Raw genomic sequence first — 21,621 nt, 5'->3', positions numbered from 1 at the left:
AAATCCCCTATTTTAAGAAGCATTTTTAATATAATTTTTTTTATTATTATTATACTTTAAGTTTTAGGGTACATGTGCACAATGTGCCGGTTAGTTACATATGTATACATGTGCCATGCTGGTGTGCTGCACCCGCATTTTTAATATAATTTATTTTTGCTGCTAGGTACTCTGTAAATATCTGTTACATCAAGTTGGTTGATAATGTGGTTCAAGTCTTTTACATTCTTATTAATTTTCTACTTAGCAATTATTGAGAGGTGCTAAAATCTGACTGTAATTGTGAAAACTGTTTTTCCTCACAGTTCCATCAGGTTTTTCTTTATGTATTTTGAAGCTGTCATTTAGGCAAATGAACATGTAGAATTGTTATGACTTCTTATTGAATTGACCCTATGATCTCATAAAATATCCCCTTTTCCCTGGCAATATGCTATGTTCTGAGATCTACTTTGTCTGATACTAATATAGTTTCATCAGATTTCTTTTTATTACAGGCATATCATTTAATATCCATTTGCATTTAACCGATTGTCTTTATATTTAGAGTGGTTGTCTTGCAAGCAGCATGCGGTAGGGTCTGTGATGCTAATTGGGGTGTTGGGACAATTCTGAGTATAACTATTGAAAAGGTCGGTTTTAAATGTACCACCTTGCTGTTTGTCTTGTTTGTCCCAGCTTTTTTTCCTTTTTCCTTGCCTTCTTTTCAGTCTTTTAGATTGAAGAGACTGTGTGTGTGTGTGTGTGTGTGTGTGTGTGTGTTTTGGAGAGTCTCACTCTGTCACCCAGGCTGGAGTGCAGTGGCACAATCTTGGCTCACTGCAACCTCTGTCTCCTGGGTTCAAGCAATTCTCCTGCCTCAGCCTCCCGAGTAGCTGGGATTACAGGCGTGTGCCACCATACCCAGCTATTTTTTGTATTTTTAGTAGAGATGGGGTTTCATCATGTTGGCCAGGCTGGTCTCAAACTCCTGACCTCAGATGATCCACCCACCTCGGCTTCCAAAAGTGCTGGAATTATAGGCATGAGCCACCGCACCTGGCTTAGACTAAGAATTTTTAATGACTCCATTAAATCTCCTTGGTTGACTTATTAGCTTTTCTATTTTTCTTGTGATTACTTCAGGATTTATCATGTACAAGGTGAAAATCTTACAGCATGCCAGGTGCAGTAACTCATGTCTGAAATTCCAGCACTTTGAGAGGCTGATGTGGGAGGCTTTCTTGAGGCCAGGAGCTTGAGAGTAGCCTGGGCAACATGGTAAGACCCCATCTCTCCAAAAAAAAAAAAAAAAATCTTACAGCAGTATGATTTCACTTCCCCCATCTTGGCCTTATTCTATTGTGGTCATGTATTTTACTTCTCTCTCTATATATATATGTAAAAGAAATCCCATGATTAATTGTAGTACTTTTTCCTTTAAGCAGTAACTGTTTTACCAAAAAAAAAAAAAAAAAAAAAAAAAAAGCTTCTTGTTCTTCATTTTTTTTTGTAGATCCAGACTTCTATCTGGTACCTTTTTCCTTGTCCCTGAAGGACTTAATACTTCTTATAGTATAAGTCTGCTGGTGATGAATTCTTTCAGCTTTTGTATTTCTGAAATAGTCTTTATTTCACCTTTCTTTTCTTTTTTTTTTTGAGATGGAGTCTCACTCTGTCACCCAGGCTAGAGTGCAGTGGTGCGATCTCAGCTCACTGCAACCTCTGCCTCCAGGTTCAAGCAATTCCCCTGCCTCAGCCTCCTGAGTAGCTGGGATTACAGGCATGCGCCACCATGCCCGGCTAAGTTTTTATATTTTTAGTAGAGACAGGGTTTCACCATATTGATCAGGCTGGTCTCAAACTCCTGACCTTGTGATCTGCCCACCTCAGCCTCCCAAAGTGCTGGGATTACAGGCATGAGCCACCATACCTGGCTCACCTTTGTTTTCAAGAGATATTTTGGCTGGGTATAGAATTCAAGGTTGATTTTTTGTTTGTTTCAGTACTTTAAAGATGTAACTCCATTGTTTTCACACCTGCATTGTATCTGATGAGAAATATGCTGTCATCCTTTGGTTTCTCTATCTGTAACATGTCTAGTTCCTACTGCCTTTAATATTTCCTCTCAATTTCTGGTTTGAACAATTTTTCAAGTGTTATGTGTCATGATATTATTTTCCTTGTCTTCCTTGTGCTTGAGGTCCATTAGACCTGTTAAGGGCTTATAGTTTTCATCAAATTTGAACATTTTTCAGCCATTATTTTTTCAAATCCTTTTTCTCTCCTCCCCTCTCCTTTGGAGACTCCAATTACACACAAATTAGACTGCTAGAGGTTCTCCCACAGTTTACTGATATGCTATTCATTTTCTTCAGCCTTTTTTCTTTAATTTTGAATAACTTCTGTGCTATGTGTTCAAGTTTACTAATCTTTTATTCCACACTCTCTAATGTGCTGTTGATTCTAACAAGTGTGTTTTTCATATCACACACTAAAGTTTGCATTTTCAGAAATTTGATACTGGTCTTTTTTTTTTTTGAAATGAAGTCTCACTGTGTCACCCAGGCTGGAGTGCAGTGGCACAATCTTGGCTCACTGCAACCTCTGTCTCCTGGGTTCAAGCAATTCTCATGCCTCAGCCTCCCGAGTAGCTGGGATTACAGGTGCCCCCCTGCCCCGACCCCTACACCATACCTAACTTTTGTATTTTTAGTAGAGATGGGGTTTCACCATGTTGGCAAGGCTGGTCTCAAACTCCTGACCTCAAGTGATCCACTTGCCTCAGCCTCCCAAAGTGCTGGGATTACAGGCATGTGCCACCGCACCCAGCCTGATGCCAGTCTTTTCAATCTTTCAATGTTTCAAGCATTCCTCTACTTTCTTGAACATACAGAATATACTTTTAACTAGTTTCAATATCCTTGTCAATTAATTCTATCATGTGTCATTTCCAGGTGTTTGTATTTTTCTCATTGTGGTTGCATTTTTCTGCTTTATTGCATGATTGATAATTTTCAACTGGATACCAGACATTGAATTTCACCTTGTTGGGTGCCAGATATTTTTGCATAATATAATAATATTCTTAAGCTTCGTCCCAGTTTCTCTCAAAACTCACATTTAAGCTTTGTTAGGTAACACCAAAGCAAGCTTAGTCTAGGACTAATTTTCTTCCACTATTAATGCAATGTTCTTCTATTTATTTTTCAGACAGGGTCTCACTCTGTTGCCCAGGCTGGAGTACAGTGGCACAATCACAGATCATTGCAGCCTTGACTTCCCTGAGTTCAGGTGATCCTTCCACCTCAGCCTCCTGAGTAGCTGTGACTACAGGTGCATGCCACCACACCTGGCTAATTTTTGTATTTTTTTGTAGAGAAAGGATTTCACCATGTTGCCCAGGCTGGTCTCCAACTCCCAGGCTCAAGTGATCTGCATGCCTTGGCCTCCCAAAGTGCTAGGATTACAGGTGTGAACCACCGTACCCGGCCTGCAATGTCCCTTTAAATATTCTATCTGACCCCTTTTGAGGTATGAGGTCTTTCCTCTGTAGCTGGCAGGAATAAAATCTTTTCCCAGTCCTTTGCAAAATGCATGAAAAGAAGTGTTTATTCTGCTTCTTTTTGATGTTTACTTCCCTTGCCTGGGTTGTTACCTCACATGTATGTGCTGGTCAACCCTCTGAAGACTTGAGGCGGAAACTCTGCACATCTCCAGTTCTCTCCTCTCCAGAACTCTTCCCTGAAAACTTTATTTCCTTGGGTTGCTGTAGATTCCCAATCCCATCTCAACTCAGGGAGACTCCCCTGTGTTCCACCCAGGTTCCTACCCACTGTACTGAGGCTTGAGAAAATCTCCTTAGATGTTAAGTTTGATGAATTGTAAGGCTCACTTCATATGGTTACCTGAGAGAACAACCACCGTCCTGGAATGCCTGGTGTCCTACTGTCTGAAATTTAATTGTTTCATATTTCTTATTCAATTTTTTTTTTTTTTGAGACGGAGCTTCACTCTTGTCACCTAGACTGGAGTGCAATGGTGCGATCTCGGCTCACCACAACCTCCGCCTCCCGGGTTCAAGTGATTCTCTTGCCTCAGCCTCCTGAGTAGCTGGGATTACAGGCATGCGCCACCTTGCCCAGCTAATTTTGTATTTTTAGTAGAGACGGGGTTTCTCCATGTTGGTCAGGCCGGTCTTGAACTCCTGACTTCAGGTGATCCACCCGCCTTAGCCTCCCAAAGTGCTGGGATTACAGGCACGAGCCACTGCACCCAGCCCCAGATTTTTACTTGTTTCTGTTAAATCTGATCCCTCTTACTCCATTTTGACTAGAAGCCTACTGTTTTATTTGTTGCAGCTATGATTACAAGCCTGTTGTGGAGGAAAGACATGAACTCCTCTATGAATTTAATGAAAGCTACTGACCACATTCCCCTCATAAATGAACATTCCTTGTTATTTTAAATGTAATTTCAGGTAGGTTCATTGGCTCCTGTATCTGGTATGAAGGGCTCATGGATCCGACACTTAGAATTCTTGTTTTTTCTTTTTCTTTTGAATTTTCTTGAGTTGGCTTTCTGTTAATTCTACCCTTCTGTTCCTTTCATTTTAGTATTTAATCACTTTGCTCATCAATTTTGTCCTTTTCTTGTTCCTCAACCATCATGTTTACCTTTTTGTCTTTTTAAGTTTTTTTTTTTTTTTTTGAGACAGGATCTCACTCTGTCCCCCACGCAGGAGTGCAGTGGTACAATCTTGGCTCACAGCAGCCTTGACCTTCCAGGCTGAAGTGATCCTCCCACCTCAGCTTCCCGAGTAGCTGGGAATACAGGCATGCACCACCACATCTGGCTAATTTTTGTATTTTTTGTAGAGACAGGCTTTTGCCATATTGCCCAGGCTGGTCTTGAACTCCTGGGCTCCATCCACCCACCTCAGCCTTCCAAAGTGCTGGGATTATAGGCATGTGGCACCATGTCTAGCCTCATGTTTACTTTTTTTTTCTTTTTTTCCAGACGGAGTTTCGCTCTTGTTGCCCAGGCTGGAGTGCAATGGCGTGATGTCGGCTCACCACAACCTCCACCTCCTGGGTTCAAGCGACTCTCCTGCCTCAGCCTCCCAAGTAGCTGGGATTACAGGCACGTGCCACCAAGCTGGGCTAATTTTGTATTTTTAGTAGAGATGGGGTTTCACTACTTCTTGTATTACACACTGAAGACAAAAAGCAGGGTCATGCAGTAATAACTGTGTAGTCAGCCCATACTTTAAATGGGACACTAGTTACTTTTAAGCAGTAAACCCTGACAATGCCCACCCTTTACCTATAACCAGTCGACCTGCATTGGCATTCCTTGTTCTCCTTTCTACAACCTAAACATTGAAAACTCTAGTCTCAGTAACTCAGATCTTCCTTTAGACAGTGAGTTGTCTGTGTTTGCAATGTTTTATTTATTTATTGTTTTTTTGAGACAGGGTTTCACTTTGTCACCCAGGGTGAAGTGCAGTGATGCAATCACAACTCACTGCGTCCTCAACCTCCCAGGTTCAAGCAATCCTCCTGCCTCAGTCTCCCTAGTAGCTGGGACTACAGGCGGTGCCACCATGCCTGGCTAATTTTTGTATTTTTTGTAGAGACAAAGTTTTGCCATGTTGCCCAGGCTGGTCTCAAACTCCTGAGCTTTAGTGATCTTCCCACTTTGGCTTCCCAAAGTGCCAGGATTACAGGCACGAGAGCTACTGTGCCCAGTCACAACATTTTGAAGCTGTGAAAACAGTGGTTTTCTTCACTCATGTCACCTACAATGTAGGCCAGTGTCGTCCAACAGAAATACAAGCCACATATGTAATTCTAAATTCCCTAATATCCACATTGGCCAGGCTCGGTGGCTTACTCCTATAATCCCAGCACTTTGGAAGGCCGAGGTGAGCAGCAGATCACTTGAAATCAGCAGTTTGAGACAAGACTAGACAACAAAGTGAGACTCCACTTCTACAAAAAAATACAAAAATTAGCCAGGTATGGTGGCATGCACCTGTAGTCCCAGCTACTCAGGAGGCTGAGGTGGGAGGATGGCTTGAGCCTGGGAGGCAGAAGTTCCAGTGAGCTGAAATCAAGCCACTGCACTCCAGCCTGGTTGACAGAGCCAGACCCTGTCTCAAAAAAGAAGCAATATCAAAAAAAAGTAATTGGTGGAATTAATTTTGTTTTACGTAATCCATTATATCTAAAATATAACTATTTCAATGTTACAAACATAAAAATTATTATTGGCTGGGTGCGGTGGCTCATGCCTGTAATCCCAGCACTTTGGGAGGCTGAGGCAGGTAGATCACTTGAGGTCGGGAGTTCGAGACCAGCCTGACCAACGTGGAGAAACCCCGTCTCTACTAAAAATACAAAATTAGCTGGGTGTGGTGGCGCATGCCTGTAATCCCAGCTACTGGGGAGGCTGAGGCAGGACAATCGCTTGAACCCGAGAGGCGGAGGTTGCAGTAAGCCGAGATCATGCCACTGCACTCCAGCCTGGGTGATAGAGCCAGACTCCATCTCAGGAAAAAAAAAAAAAAAAAAAAAAAATATATATATATATATATATATATAATATAACATATAAATATATAATAGAAATACATATAATATATAAATATATATTATGTAATATAATACTAATATAATATAATATAATATAACATATATAAATAGATATATTTGTTGACATGGAGTTTTGTTCTTGTTGCCCAGGCTGGAGTGCAATGGTGTGATCTCAGCTCATTCTGAGCAGCAATTCTGCTGCCTCAGCCTCCCGAGTAGCTGGGATTACAGGCATAAACCACAACGCCTGGCTAATTTCGTATTTTTAGTAGAGACGGGGTTTTACCACGTTGGCCAGGCTGATGTGGAACTCCTGACTTCAGGTGATCCACCCCCCTCGGCCTCCCAAAGTGCTGGGTTACAGCCGTGAGTCACCGTGCCTGGCCAAATGTCTAGTTTAAAAAGTAGACTGTCGTACACAAGTTGTTCCAAACATACTTAAAGGTTTTCTAAACCAAAAAGTACGTTCCTTAGCCTTAGCACATTTTAAGTGCTCAATAGCCACTTATGGTTAGTGACAACTATATTAAACAGCATAGGCATAGGTCCTTTATGAAGAGTTACAGAATACCTCATTTCCGTGGTGATTTTGCTTTATTCCTACACAACACACTAGCACACACACATACATATATATTAAAACATTGCCTAAATCTTTGTAAGCAGATTTCACAACAGGAAGAAGTATGTCAAAATTTCAACTCAGGAATGGACTCAACATACTGATTTTAAAAAACAGTTAAGAGGTATTTAAACCTCAAATACTAATCTCTGAAAAAAGCATAGTTGAAATTCATAGCCAAATTTTTGACATTTCCCTCTCAATAACCTGTCTCCAACAAGTCTATAATCAATTCAATCTATTTATTTTTCTCTAGGCAAAGTCATAAGACCTTTTCCCCCAGGGTATATACATTCCCAATGTCCTTCTTTTTCTAAATCTTATTTATAATACGTAATAACTATAAAAATGCTGTTATAAAATATAGATACCTGCTCATAGAAATACACTTCATGAGGTATAAAAGATGCACAAAGATGTTTACTGTGGCATAATTTGTAATAATGAAAAAGCTGAGCTTCACAAAGAAATGTATTATAAATTATGATTTGTCAACTCAATGGAATACCATGAACAAAGCTTAGAGGGCAACAGGAAATGACTATTGTAGAAAGCATGATTATGGGTGATACATTGTAAAAAACCCTGATTCCTGTCTTAACAATGGAATGGGGAAAAAAAGAAACACCCTAGAGTTAAAACAAGGTAGAAAGATTGGAGTAGAAAGTACTTTTTCTTTTCTTTAGGTGTCTCAAGGAAATTAACAATAAGAGAAGAAAATGAAATGCCCTCACTGACCTTCCCTCCAGCCTTTCCTGCTGCTAATTCCCTGAAACTGAACTCCAGCCAAGACTTCAGAAGGATCCTATACATAAATGGAATCAGGCTTCAGGTTTCCTCAAGAGTGGGTGGGAAAGTTATGTGTGGAAAGGTCTCAACTAGAAGCCAAGAAAAGATCCACTTAGCAAAAAACCATACACCTTTTCAAAAAGAATGACCCAAAAAATTATTTCTAGTCCAAAATTTTGATAAAATTTTTAAAATTCATAAGAGAAAATATGGGACTTCCCAACCCAATATTCAGGCACATGATGTGAATCTCAATAACTGCCTAAAGCAAAGATAGTAACAATGTATTATGGGACTGAGAACTAAAAGTATGACGAAAAGAGTACAAAGAGGGCTGGGCACAGTGGCTCATGCCTGTAATCTCAATACTTTGGGAGGCTGAGGCAGGAGGATCACTTGAGCCCAGGAGATTGAGACCAACCTGGAAAACACAGACCCTATCTCTACACACGCAAAAAAAAAAAAAAACCCAAAAAACAAAACAATTAGCTAGGCATGGTGGTGCATCCCTGTAGTCCTAGCTATAGGGGAGGCCAAGGCAGGAGGATCACTTGAGTCAGGAGTTCAAGGCTGCACTGAGCTATGATTGTGCCATTGCACTCCAGCCTAGGAGACAGAGCAAGATCCTGTCTCTTAAACAAACAACAACAACAACAACAAAAACGCACAATGAAGGGAGGAATTGGAGGTATAAGAGTCTCATAGCATACATGGAGTGTTAAAATACTACTGAAAGCAGACTGGGCACGGTGGCTCATGCCTGTAATCCCAACACTTTGGGAGGCCAAGGTGGGTGTATCATCTGGGGTCAGCAGTTCAAGACCAGCCTAGCCAACATGGTGAAACCCCATCTCTACCAAAAATACAAAAATTAGCTGGGCATGGTGGTGGACACCTGTAATCCCAGCTACTCCAGAGGCTGAGGCAGGAGAATCGTTTGAACCCAGGAGGCAGAAGTTGCAGTGAGTTGGATCGTGCCACTGCACTCCAGCCTGGGCGACAAAAGCAAAACTCCATCTCAAAAACAAAAACAAAAACAAAACAAAACAAAAAAAGCTACTGAAAGTAAACTGTAGTAAGAAAGATGTATACTGTAATCCCTAGGTAATCAAGTAAAAGTCTTTTAAAAAATGGAGTATAGCTAATAAGTTTAACAGTAGATATAAAATGAAATCATAAAAATCATCCAAAGGAAAACAAAAATTTTGAGGAAAAAAAGAGATGGGGATGGGACAAACAAAAAACAAGTAAGGTGATGTAAAGAACCATTAAGTATCCTTAGTTTTACCCTACTTGCAGGCTAAGCAAGCCCCCCTCCCCGCATGGTTTCATGGGTGCTAGTAGAAAACATGTGAAATGTGAGTCAGAGGACAGTTTACTACTCTTATCAAGGACAATATCCAATATATCAGCATTTTCTTACAAGTTCCCCAAATCCTAATTCTCAAAGGCAATGCAAGGATGGCCAAATGATACTCACGTGCAATGGGTTGTGTTATGAGCAGAAAAACCTTGAATTTGAGGAACCAAATTTTTTATGCGATGTCTGCTCCATGCTCTGGTGGTACACGCCTGTAATCCCACCTACTTGGGAGGCTGAGGCAGGAGAATCACTTGAACCTGGGAAGGGGAGGTTGCAGTGAGCTGAGATCACTCCACTGCCCTTCAGCCTAGGCAACACAGCGAAATTCCATCTCAAAAAAATAATAAAAATTTTTTTAAAAAATAAGGCATGTTTTCAATCAGTAACCAAAGCTTCTGCCTTAAGAAACTAGAAAAAGATCAGATTAAACCCAAATAAAGAGATACATAGAAATAATAAAGAACAGAATAGATGAAGAATGAAAGTAAAGATACCTCTACAGATCCTACAGGCATTAAAAGGATAAGGGAATATTGTGAACTACTTTGTGCCAATAAATTTAATAGCTTAGATGAAATGGACAAATCCCTTAAAAAACACAACTCCAGCTCCCCTGGGCTATTCTGGGCACACTGCCTATGGGGTACCTCTGCTCTGCAAGGAGCAATAGAATAAAAACACAACTCTCAAAGTTCACTCAAATGGAAGTAGATAACCTGGATAGTCCTAGATCTATTAAAGTAATTGAATTCATATTTAAAGCCATAAAAACAAACCATGGAGATTGGTAAACTTAGGGGGAGGGAGTTGGAGTATCTGTTTGGAATACAGAGTATTCTTATAGGGTAGTCCTGCGAGATAAGGGTGAAGGGCAGGTTGAAGGCAGATTATAGAAAACATTGAAAGTCATGCTAAGGATTTTAATTTCTATTGCACAGGCAAATGTCGTTTTCACTGTGTGCTCCCAGCACTTTAGGAGGCCGAGGTGGGCGGATCACCTGAGGTCAGGAGTTCGAGATCAACCTGGCCAACATGGCGAAACCCTGTCTGTACTAAAAATACAAAAAATTAGCTGGGCTTGGTGGCAGGCGCCTGTAATCCCAGCTACTTGGGCGACTGAGGCAGAAGAATCGCTTGAACCCGGGAGGCAGAGTTTGCAGTAAGCCAAGATCTCGCCATTGTACTCCAGCCTGGGCAACAAGAGCAAAACTCTTGTCTCAGGAAAAAAAAAAGAGAAATGTACTGCATAATCTTTTATATGTAGACTCTCTAAAAAAGTCAAATACAGATGCTCCTTGACTTATGAAGGGGTCATGTCCTAATAAAGCCATTCTAAATTGAAAATACCATAAATTGAAAATAAGGGCTGGGCACAGTGACTCACTGCTGTAATCCCAGCTACTTGGGAGGTTGAGGCAGGAGAATCGCTTGAGCCCTGGAGGTGGAGGTTGCAGTGAGCCAAGATCGCACCACTGCACTCCAGCCTACATGAAAGAGCAAGACTCCATCTCAAAAAGAAAAAAGAAAATAAGGCCAGGTGTAGTGGCTCATGCGTGTAATCCCAGCACTTTGGGAGGCGAGACAGGTGGATCACTTGAGGTCAGGAGTTTGAGACCAGCGTGGCCAACATGGTGAAACCCTGTCTCTACTAAAACAAAAAATACAAAAATTAACTGGGCATGGTGGCAGGTACCTATAATCCCAACTACTCAAGAGGATGAGGCATGAGAATCGCTTGAACCTGGTAGGCAGAGGTTGCAGTGAGCCACAATGGCACCACTGCACTCCAGCCTGGGTGACAGAGTGAGACTCCATCTGGAAAAAAAAAAAGAAACTTTTGTTTTTTACTTATTATATATTAAACTTACAATGGGTTTATCTGGCTATAGCCCCATAGTAAGTCAAGGAGTGTACTAAATGTATATTATTTTCTCACCATCCGAAAGTTGAAAAATTGTAAGTTAGAGATCATCTGTACATAGAAACAGAGGAGAACAGCAGTTACCAGGGGCAGGGAAGGGGAGAAATGGGGAATGGTAGATTAAAGGGCAAAAACTGGCAGTTGTGTACGATGAGCAGGCCTAGAGACCTAATGGGCAGCATGAGGAAAACGGTTAATAATACTGTATTACATATGAAAAATTTGCTAAGACCGTAGATTTTAAGTGCTCTTACCAGACAAAAAAACAGGTAACTATGGAAGGTGACAGGTTAATTTGCCTGACTGTAGTAATTATTTCAGTGTTGTATACCTTATAGACAACTTAAAAAAGAAAATCCCAAGCAATCTACAAAAAAACACCTACTACAACAAAGAACTGAGTTTAGTAAGGTCATAGGATACAAGGTCAATAAAAACAATTGGAAGTCAAAATTATAAAAACAGTACCATTTACAGTGGCATCAAAAATATAAAACAGCCAGGTACAGTGGCTCATGCCTGCAATCCCAACAGTTTGGGAGGCCAAGGCAGGGCAATCACTTGAGCCCAGAAGTTTGAGACCAGCCTGGGCAACATGGTGAAATCCTTCCTCTACTAAAAATACAAAAAATTAGCTGGGCATGGTGGCATGCAGCTGTAGTCCCAGCTACTTGGGAGGCTGAGGTGGGAGAATCACCTGAGCCTGAGAAGTCAAGGCTGCAGTGCGCCATGACCCCACCTCTGCACTCCAGCCTGGTCAACAAGAGTGACACTGTCTCAAAAAAAGAAAAAAAGAGAAATACTCGTGAAGGGATAAACCTAACAAAATGTGGTAAAGCTGAAAACTACAAAATACTGATGAGAGAAACAGAAGAAAAATCCAAATAAATGGGGAGATATACCATATTCACCACTGGAAGACAATATTGTTTTTCATTTGTTTGCTTTGAGACAGATTTTCGCTCTTGTTGCCCAGGCTGGAGTGCAGTAGCTCGATTTCGGCTCACTGCAACCTCCACTTCCCAGGTTCAAGCAATTCTCCTGTCTCAGCCTCCCGAGTAGCTGGGATTACAGGCACACACCACCACCACCACGCCTGACTAATTTTTTTGTATTTTTAGTAGAGATGGGGTTTCACCATGTTGGCCAGGCTGGTCTTGAACTCCTGACCTCAGGTGATCCACCCGCCTCGGCCTCCCAAAGTGCTGGGATTACAGGCATGAGCCACTGCACCCAGCCAACAATATTGTTAGGATGACAATTTACCCCAAAATGCTTAATAGAGTTAATCAATCTCAACCAAAATCCCAGGTTGTTGTTTTTTTTAAAGAAATCAATAAACTGATTCTAAAATCTAAATGGAAAGGTAAAGACCCTAGAATAGCCAAAATACTTTGAAAAGGAAGAACACAATTGGAGGATTCAAATTACCCGAGGCCAAAGTTTACTACAAAGCTAAAGTAATCAAGACAATGTGGTATCATTAAAACAACAGACCTATAGGTCAACGAAACAATAAGAGAATTCAGAAAAATACCCACATATATGGTCAATTGGTTTTGAAAAAAGGTACTAAGGCAATTCATTGAAAACCAATAGCCTTAAACAAATGGTTCTTGAATAACTGATCATCCATATGAAAAAAAATGAACCATAATCCATAACTCACACCATTATTTTAAAAATTAACCCAAAATATATCATAAATGTAAAAATATAAGAATTTTAAAAGAGGCCAGGTGTGGTGGCTCACGCCTGTAATCTTAGCATTTTGGGAGGCCAATGCGGGCGGATTGCCTGAGCTTAGGAGTTTGAGAGTAGCCTGGGCAACATGGTAAAACTCCGTCTCTACTAAAATATAAAAAGTTAGCCAGGTGTGGCAGCGTGTACCTGTAGTCCCAGCTACTCGGGAGGCTGAGGCAGGAGAATTGCTTGAACCAGGGAGGTGGAAGTTGCAGTGAGCTGAAATTGTGCCACTGCACTCCAGCCTGGGCGACAGACCAAGACTCTGTCTCCAAAAATAAATAAATAAATAAATAAATAAATAAATAAATAAATACAAACATAAAACTTGTGTTCTTTTTTTTTTGAGACAGGTTCTCACTCTGTTTCTAAGGCTGGAGTGCAGTGGCATGATCTCAGCTCACTGTAGCCTCGACTTTCCAGGTTCAAATGATCTCCCACCTCAGCCCCCCAGACTTCAGTCCCCCAGGTAGCTGGGACTACAGGTGTGCACCACCATGCCCAGCCAGCTAAATTTTGTAGAGATGGGGTTTCACCATGTTGTCCAGGCTAAAACTTGTGTTCTTTAAAGATATTATAGAGAAATGAAGACAAGCCACAGACCAGCAGAAAATATTTGCAAAACACTTGATAAGGAACTTTTCATCCAGAAGAACCCTCCCAACACACACATAAAAAAGGAAATCAAACAACCCAATTTTTAAAAATCAGCAAAAAGTCTTAAGAGATACTTCACCAAAGAAATATGTGATATCAAATAAGCACATGAAAAGACACACAAAATCATTTGTCACAGGAAAATGACAATTAAAACAATGAGATACTGCTATTCATCTATTAGCATGGAGAAAAAAACAAAAACAAAAAATAAATCTGACAATACCAAGTGTTGGTGAGGATACAGAGCAACTAGAACTTTTTTTTTTTTTTTTTTTGGAGACGGAGTCTCACTTTGTTGCCAGGTTAAGTGCAGTGGCATGATCTCGGCTCACTGAAACCTCTGCCTCCCAGGTTCAAGTGATTCTCCTGCCTCAGCCTCCCAAGCCAAGTAGCTGGGACTACAGGTACATGCCACCACACCCAGCTAATTTTTAGTAGAGACGGGGTTTCAATGTGTTAGCCAGGTGGTCTCGATCTCCTGACCTCATGATCCGCCCATCTTGGCCTCACAAAGTGCTGGGATTACCGGTGTGAGCCATGGTGCCTAGCCGCAACCAGAACTCTTAAACATTGCTAGTGGGCATGCAAAATGGTGCCACCACTTTCAAAAACAGTCTGAGAACCTCTCACAAAGTTAAACACAACTAATCATTTGACCTAACCATCACATTCCTAGATATTCATCCAAAAAAGTTCAAATGTTTACAAAAGGCCTACACATAAATTTTACTTTATGCAAAATTGCCCTAAGCTGTAAACATCCTTAATGTCAACTTCTTTTTTTTTTTTTTTTTGAGATGGAGTCTTGCTCTGTTGCCCCCAGGCTGGAGTGCAGTGGCACGATCTTAGCTCACTGCAACCACCGCCTCCCCAGTTCAAGCGATTCTCCTGCCTCAGCCTCCCAAGTAGCTGGGATTACAGCCACCCACCACCACGTCCAGCTATTTTTTTTTTTTTTTTTAGTTGAGACAGGGTTTCACCATGTTGGCCAGGCTGGTTTTGAACTCCTGACCTCAAGTGATCCACCTGCCTTGGCCTCCTAGAATGTGCTAGGATTTACAGGTATGAGCCACAGTGCCCAGCCTAATGTCAACTATTAATACTTAATCAACAAAAGTACATCCATACAAAGAAATATTAATCAGTAACTAAATGGAACAAACTATTGATACATGCAAGAAATTAATAAATCTCAAAAGCATTGTATGGGCCGAGCGTGGTGGCTCATGCCTATAATCCCAGCACTTTGGAAGGCTGAGGCTGAGGCAGGTGGATCACTAGAGGTCAAGATTTCAAGACCAGCCTGGCCAACATGGTGAAACCCCCATCTTTACTAAAAATACAAAAATCAGCCTGATGTGGTGGCATGTGCCTGTGATCCTAGCTCCTCAGGAGGCTGAGGCAGGAGAATTGCTTGAACCTGGGAGACGGAGGTTTCAGTGAGCCGAGACTGCATCACTGCACTCCAGCCTGGGAAACAGAGTGAGACTCTGTCAAAAAAAAAAAAAATTGTATGAAGGAAGCTAGATACAAAAGGTTACATATTATAAGATTTCATTTATAAAATTTGGAAAAATATAATACTATAGAGTCGGAAATCACGTCAGTGGTTACTAGGAGCTGTGGGTGAGTGAGACAGGTTGACTGTAAAGGGGCCTAGGGCAACATTTGAGATCATAGAAATATTGTATATTTTGACTGTGGTAACGGTTACATGACTGTATACACTTGTCAGAAATCATCAAAGTATACAGGTAAAAAGCATGAGTTTTGGTACCTATAAATTATACCTTAATAAGCTTGCCTAAATAAACAAAACTGATCCTCAAAATTGTAATTTCTTATCTTGCTCTATGTGGAACAGAAGTTTGAGTTTACCTTTTCCCCACACATATTCCTAGATAAATCATTTAAACTATAAATCATTTTCATTTTTGGGGCCTGATAAGGCACTTTATATGTACTATCTCATTACGTTATTCCAACAGCTCTATGAAACTGAGGTTGAGAGGTATGGGTAGTTATAAAGTTGGGATTTAAACCCAGGTATGTTGGACTGGGTTTAAATGTCTCAATGTCATCTTTCCCTCTGTACTGTACTGTACCACCAAATCTCCAAAGACAGACTGAATTTTATGTTCTTCATTGTGCCTAGCATATAATAATATCCAATAAAAGCCAACAATGGTGAGAACTAAAATATATCCACAAAAACTGAGTCCCCTATCAAGTTCAGAATCTAAAGAAGTTGGCTTTTCTAAAGAAAATACTCCGTCACCCATTCCATTCCTACTGTCTACCATATCTCTGATTTAGCAATCAGTTCATCAGGAAGAAGTATTCATTTGTTCTTTCTTCCCAGTTCCCCTCTGCAATTTCCCTGCCCAGCAAAACACCTTTATCTCAGGATGGCCCTGGGGACACAGCTAATCTCTTAGCACTCCAGAGATAGCAGTTTCTATGGACATGAAATGAAAATCCAGATCATCTTTCCCAGGAATTCTTTTTTTTTTTGAGACGGAGTCTTGCTCTGTCACCCAGGCTGGAGTGCAATGGTGGCGTGATCTCGGCTCACGGCAACCTCTGCCTCCTGGGTTCAAGCGATTCTCCTGCCTCAGCCTCCTGAGTAGCTGGGATTACAGGTGCCCACCACCATGCCCAGCTAATTTTTGTATTTTTAGTAGAGACGGGGTTTCACCATGTTGGTCAGGCTGGTCTGGAACTCCTGACCTCGTGATCCGCTTGCCCCAGCCTCCCAAAGTGCTGGGATTATAGGCGTGAGCCATTGTGTCTGGCCGAATTATTTTCTTAATTAGAGGAGGGAGTAATATTCACTGGTTTACTGAGTAAAATCAGTTGCATCACTTCTTCATTTGTATTCCCCCATACAGTCCAAGATTATCACTTCAACTGCCAACTTTTTCAAGGATTTAGCATTTAACAATTCTTCATTGGACACATGATCCCCTTCTAAGATTAAAAGGTACTGAAGAGAGGGACTCCTGGTCTGAAGCTGTAATAGTTATAATGCATTAGTCTGTAAGTAACACAATTCAACCCAAGCTGGTTTAAACAACAGGAAAATTTATTATCTTGCATAATAAGTTTGTTGTTAAGGCAGTTCCGGTATTGATTAATTCAGTGGTTTAATAGTCACTAAAGAATAGGGTTGTTTTTTTTTTTTTTCTACTCCAGCATCCTTAGGATGTTGGCAATTCTTTCATACTAGCATCACAATGAGCCTTTCAGGTTTGTTTTTTTTTTTTTTTTTTGAGACAGAGTCTCACTCTGTCACCCAGGCTGGAGTACAGTAGAGCAATGTTAGCTCACTGCAACCTCTGCCTCCTGGGTTCAAGCGATTCTCCTGCCTCAGCCTCCCGAGTAACTGAGACTACAGGCGTGCACCACCATGCCCGGCTAATTTTTTACGGTTTTAGTAGAGATGGAGTTTCACCATGTTAGGCTGGTCTCGAACTCCTGATCTCAGATGATCCACCCACCTCAGCCTCCCAAAGTGCTAGGATTACAGGCGTGAGCCATGGCCCCTGATTGAGACTTTCATTTTTATTAAAACTGCTGCCTGATGGTTGGCTGGTATAAGGAAAACAATTTTCTCATATGTTCTTTAGAAGGCAATTTAGAAGTACCTACAGAATTTTTTTAAATGTACATATCCTTTGATTTAGCAATTCCACTTGCAACAATTCATCTCACAGAAACATGTAAATAGACACAAACAGATATAAAGATGTACATTACAAAAACTCTTTGTAACAGCAAGAAATTGGAAAGACCCTAGAATATCCATAAATAAGGGGCTGATTACTTAAATTGGGAGAGCATACAATGGAGAATGTCACAGCTATTTAACATGGAATTATGTCCAAGTTTTACTGGCAAGAGCCAAGCTGCAGAGAGTATGTGCGTATAGAGTAAAAATGTGGGGAGTGACATCCAGCAAGATGGCAGAATAGGAAGTCTCAGACTCCAGTCCCTGACACCTCCAGAAAGTTCAACTAGCAACTATCCACAGACTAGAATATCTTTTTGAAAACCCCAATATTTGGAAACAAGCCTAAAACACATGTGTGGTCCAAAGGACTGATTGAAAATTGAATTAGAGGGGTAGGGAGATACAGTCTCACTTTGACCATGCCACCCCTTCCCCAAGCTAGCACATCACCAGGGGGAGAGAATTTCCTTGGGCCCATGGTTTCTACAGGAGAAAAGAGGGCTGAAGGCAGTCACACCGCTTCCCTAGCATTCTGAAGTGCTTCTCAGGAAGTCCAACCTAGTCCTACCTCAAAAGGAACAGTGGGGATAACGACACAGCTAGACTGCCTGTTCAGGGCTGTGGCAGGAGAATCACTTGACCCCAGGAGGTCGAGGCTGCAGTGAGCCAAGGTGGTGCCACTGCACTTCAGCCTGAGTGACAAAGTGAGACCCTGTATCAAAAAAAAAAGAAAAGAAAAAATGTATAATATTGCTAATCATTAGGGAAACATAAATTTAAACCACAATGAGATATCATCTCACACTTGCCAGAATGGCTATTATCAAAAAAAGGTTAAGTGTTGCAGAAGATGTGGGGAAAACAGAAAACGTATGTATAATTGGTGGTAATGTAAATTAGAATAGCCATTATGAAAAACTGTATGGAGATCTGAAATCAGTTTGTCAAAGACATATCAACACTCCCATGTTTATCGCAACACTATTCACAATAGCCAAGTGATGGAATCAACCTAAGTGCTCATCAACAGAGGAATCAATGGCTGGTGCAGTGGCTCACACCTGTAATCCCAACATTTTGGGAGGCCAAGGCAGGAGGATGGCTTGATCCCAGGAGTTTGCAGGACCAGTCTGGGCAACATGGCAAAACCCTGTCTCTATAAAAAATACAAAAAGAAAATTAGCCAGGTGTGGTGTACACACCTGTAGTCCCAGCTACTCAGAAGGCTGAGGTGGAAGGAACATCTGAGCCCAGGAGTTTGAGGCTGCAGTTAGCCGTAGTCATGCCACTGCACTACAGCCTTGGCAACAGAGTAAGACCCTGTCTCAAACAAGCAAACAAACAACAGAGGAATGGATAAAGAAAATGTGTTATATATAGATGATGAAATAATACTCAGCCTTAAAAAAGGAAATTCTGCCATTTGAAACAATGTGAAGGAATTGGAGAACATTATGCAAGAAAAAATAAGCCAGGCACAGGAAGACAAATTCTCACAAGTGAAATTTAAAACCATTGAACTCATAGAGGCTGAGAACAGTGGTTTCAAAGGCTGGAGAGTGAGCAGAATGGTGTGGTAACAGTAAATGGGTACAAAATCTCAGTTAAGCCAGGCACAGTGGGCAATATAGTGAGAACTGGTCTCTTTAAAAAGATGTCAGACGGCTGTGTGCAGTGGTTCAGGCCTATAATCCCAGCACTTTGGAAGGCCGAGGCGGGGTGATTACTTGAGGTCAGGGCTTTGAGACCAGTCTGGCCAACACGGCAAAACCCTGTCTCTACTAAAATTACAAAAATTAGCTGGATGTGGTGGTGCACACCTGTAATCCCAGCTACTCGGGAGGCTGAGGCAGGACAATCACTTGAACACGGGAGGCGGAGGTTGCAGTGAGCTGAGATTGCACCACTGCACTCCAGCCTGGGTGACAGAGTGAGACTCTGTCTCAAACAAACAAACAAAAGATATGAGACAGAGAAATAAGAAGTAAGTCTCTGATACCTATCATACATCATTACAAATGTAGTTCATAACAGTGTATCGAACATTTCAAAATTGCTAACTTTCGAATGTTCTCACCATAAAAAAAGGTGTTTGAAGTGATGAATATGTTAATTAGCTTGATTTAATTATTTTACATTGTAGTCATAAATGTAACATCACTTTGTGCTCCATAAATAAGTACTATTTTAAGGCCGGATGCGACGGCTCATGCCTGTAATCCCAGCACTTTCGGAGGCTGAGGCGGGCAGATCACTTGAGGTTAGGAGTTTGAAACCAGCCTGGCCAACGTGGCAAAACCCCATCTCTAATAAAAATATGAAAATTAGTTGGGCGTGGTGGTGGGCGCCTGTAATCCCAGCTACTAGGGAGGCTGAGACATGAGAATTGCTTGAACCCAAGGGGTGGCGGTTGCAGTGAGCAGAGATCGTGCCACTGCACTCCAGTCTGGGCAAGAGCGAGACTCTGTCTCAAAAAAAAAAAAAAAAAAGTACTATTATAAACTGTCTACTTATAACAAAAACTACAGTTTGAGTATCCTTTACCCAAAATGTTTTGGACCAGAAGTGTTTCAGACTGCAGGTTTTTTCAGATTTTGAAATATTTGCATTATACTTACCCATTAATCATGCCAAATCTGAAAATCCAAAATCCAAAATTCTCCAATGAGCATTTCCTTTGAGTGTCATGTCGGCTCTCAAAAAAACTTCAGATTTTGGAGCATGTCAGATTTTGGATTTGGGATACTCAACTGTAAAAACAAGAAAAAAAGAAAAACCCTCTCCAAAGTAAAAATACCTAAGACACCAAAAAGGCAATAGAGGTAAAAATAGATAAAATGAACATCAAAATTAAAAAACTTCTTTGCATCAAAGGACCCAATCAATGGAGGGAAAAAAGGCAATCTATGGAATGGGAGAAAACATCACATATCTGATAAGAGGTTAATATCCCAAATATACAAAGAACTCCTACAACTCAACAACTAAAAGCGAAATAACCTGTTTTAAAATGGGCAAAGGATTTGAATAGGCACTTCTCCATCTGAATAGCCAATAAACATGAAAAGATACTTAACATCAATTAATTGTTAGGGAAATACAAATCAAAACCACAATGATACCATTTCATACCCATTAGAATGGTGGCTATCAAAACAACCAGGAAAGTGTCAGCAAAAATATGGTGAAACTGGAACCCTTATCCACTGCTAGTGAAAATGTGAAATGGTGAAACTGCTATGAAAAATAATAGGGCAGTTCCTCAAAAATTTAAAAACAAAATTAGCATATGATCTAGCAATTCTACTTCTAGGTATATATCCAAAAGAACTGAAAGCATGTTCTCAAAGAGAAGTTTGTATACCCATGGTCATAGCAATATTATTCACTATAGGCAAAGATGGAAGCAACCCAGATGGTGCATCAATGGACGAATAAACAAAATGTGAAATGTGGATACAATGGAATATTATTCAGCCTTAAAAAGAAAGAAAGAGGCTGGGCATGGTGGCTCACGCCTGTAATCCCAGCACTTGGAAGGCTGAGGCGGGTGGATCACTTGAGGCCAGGAGTTCCAAGACCAGCCTGGCTAACACAGTGAAACCTTGCCTCTACTAAATGTATGAAAAAATTAGCCAGGCATGGTGGCACACACCTGTAGTCCAAGCTACACAGGAGGCTGAGGCATGAGAATCACTTGAACCTGGGAGGTGGAAGTTGCAGTGAACCGAGATCGCATCACTGCGCTCCAGCCTGGGTGACGGAGCGAGACTCTGTCTTCATCCCATGGTCCCCCAAAAAAACGGAAAAAAAAATTCTGACGTTTTCTATAACATGAATGAAGCTTGAGGACATTATGCTAAATAAAATAAGCCAGTCACAAAGAGACAAATACTGCGTGATCCTATTATATTAAGTACTTAGAACAGAAAAAATCAGAGAAAGGAAGAATGGTGATTGCCAGGGGATTAGGGAAAATGTAGAGTTAATAGGTACAGAGTTTCAGTCCTGCAAGATGAAAAGTTCTGGCGATTGGTTGCACAATGTGAATATACTTAACACTACTGAACTGTACACTTAAAAACGGTTAAGATGGTAAATATATGTGTACTTTACCACAATTCAAAACAATTTTTTATTCTTTTGAGTCAGGGTCTCACTGTCACCCAGGCTGGAATGCAGTGGCATAAACGTAGCTCACTGTAGCCTCTATCA

At 41.0% G+C, this 21,621-nt stretch overlaps 1 annotated feature.

The window, feature by feature from the left end:
- Positions 7,375 to 8,574: an enhancer, noted in NCBI's record as "P300/CBP strongly-dependent group 1 enhancer chr1:203857413-203858612 (GRCh37/hg19 assembly coordinates)". NCBI's record gives its function as "activates an origin of replication core promoter dependent on BRD2, BRD4, P300/CBP, MED14 and CDK7 cofactors, with strong dependence on P300/CBP, by STARR-seq in HCT116 cells {active_cell/tissue: HCT116}" and the evidence as "EXISTENCE:reporter gene assay evidence [ECO:0000049][PMID:35650434]".

The sequence above is a fragment of the Homo sapiens genome, chromosome 1 (genome assembly GCF_000001405.40).
Source record: "Homo sapiens chromosome 1, GRCh38.p14 Primary Assembly".
Taxonomy (NCBI): domain Eukaryota; kingdom Metazoa; phylum Chordata; class Mammalia; order Primates; family Hominidae; genus Homo; species Homo sapiens.
The sequence above is the reverse complement of the archived record's forward strand: the minus strand, read 5'-3'. Positions and strand labels throughout refer to the sequence as shown.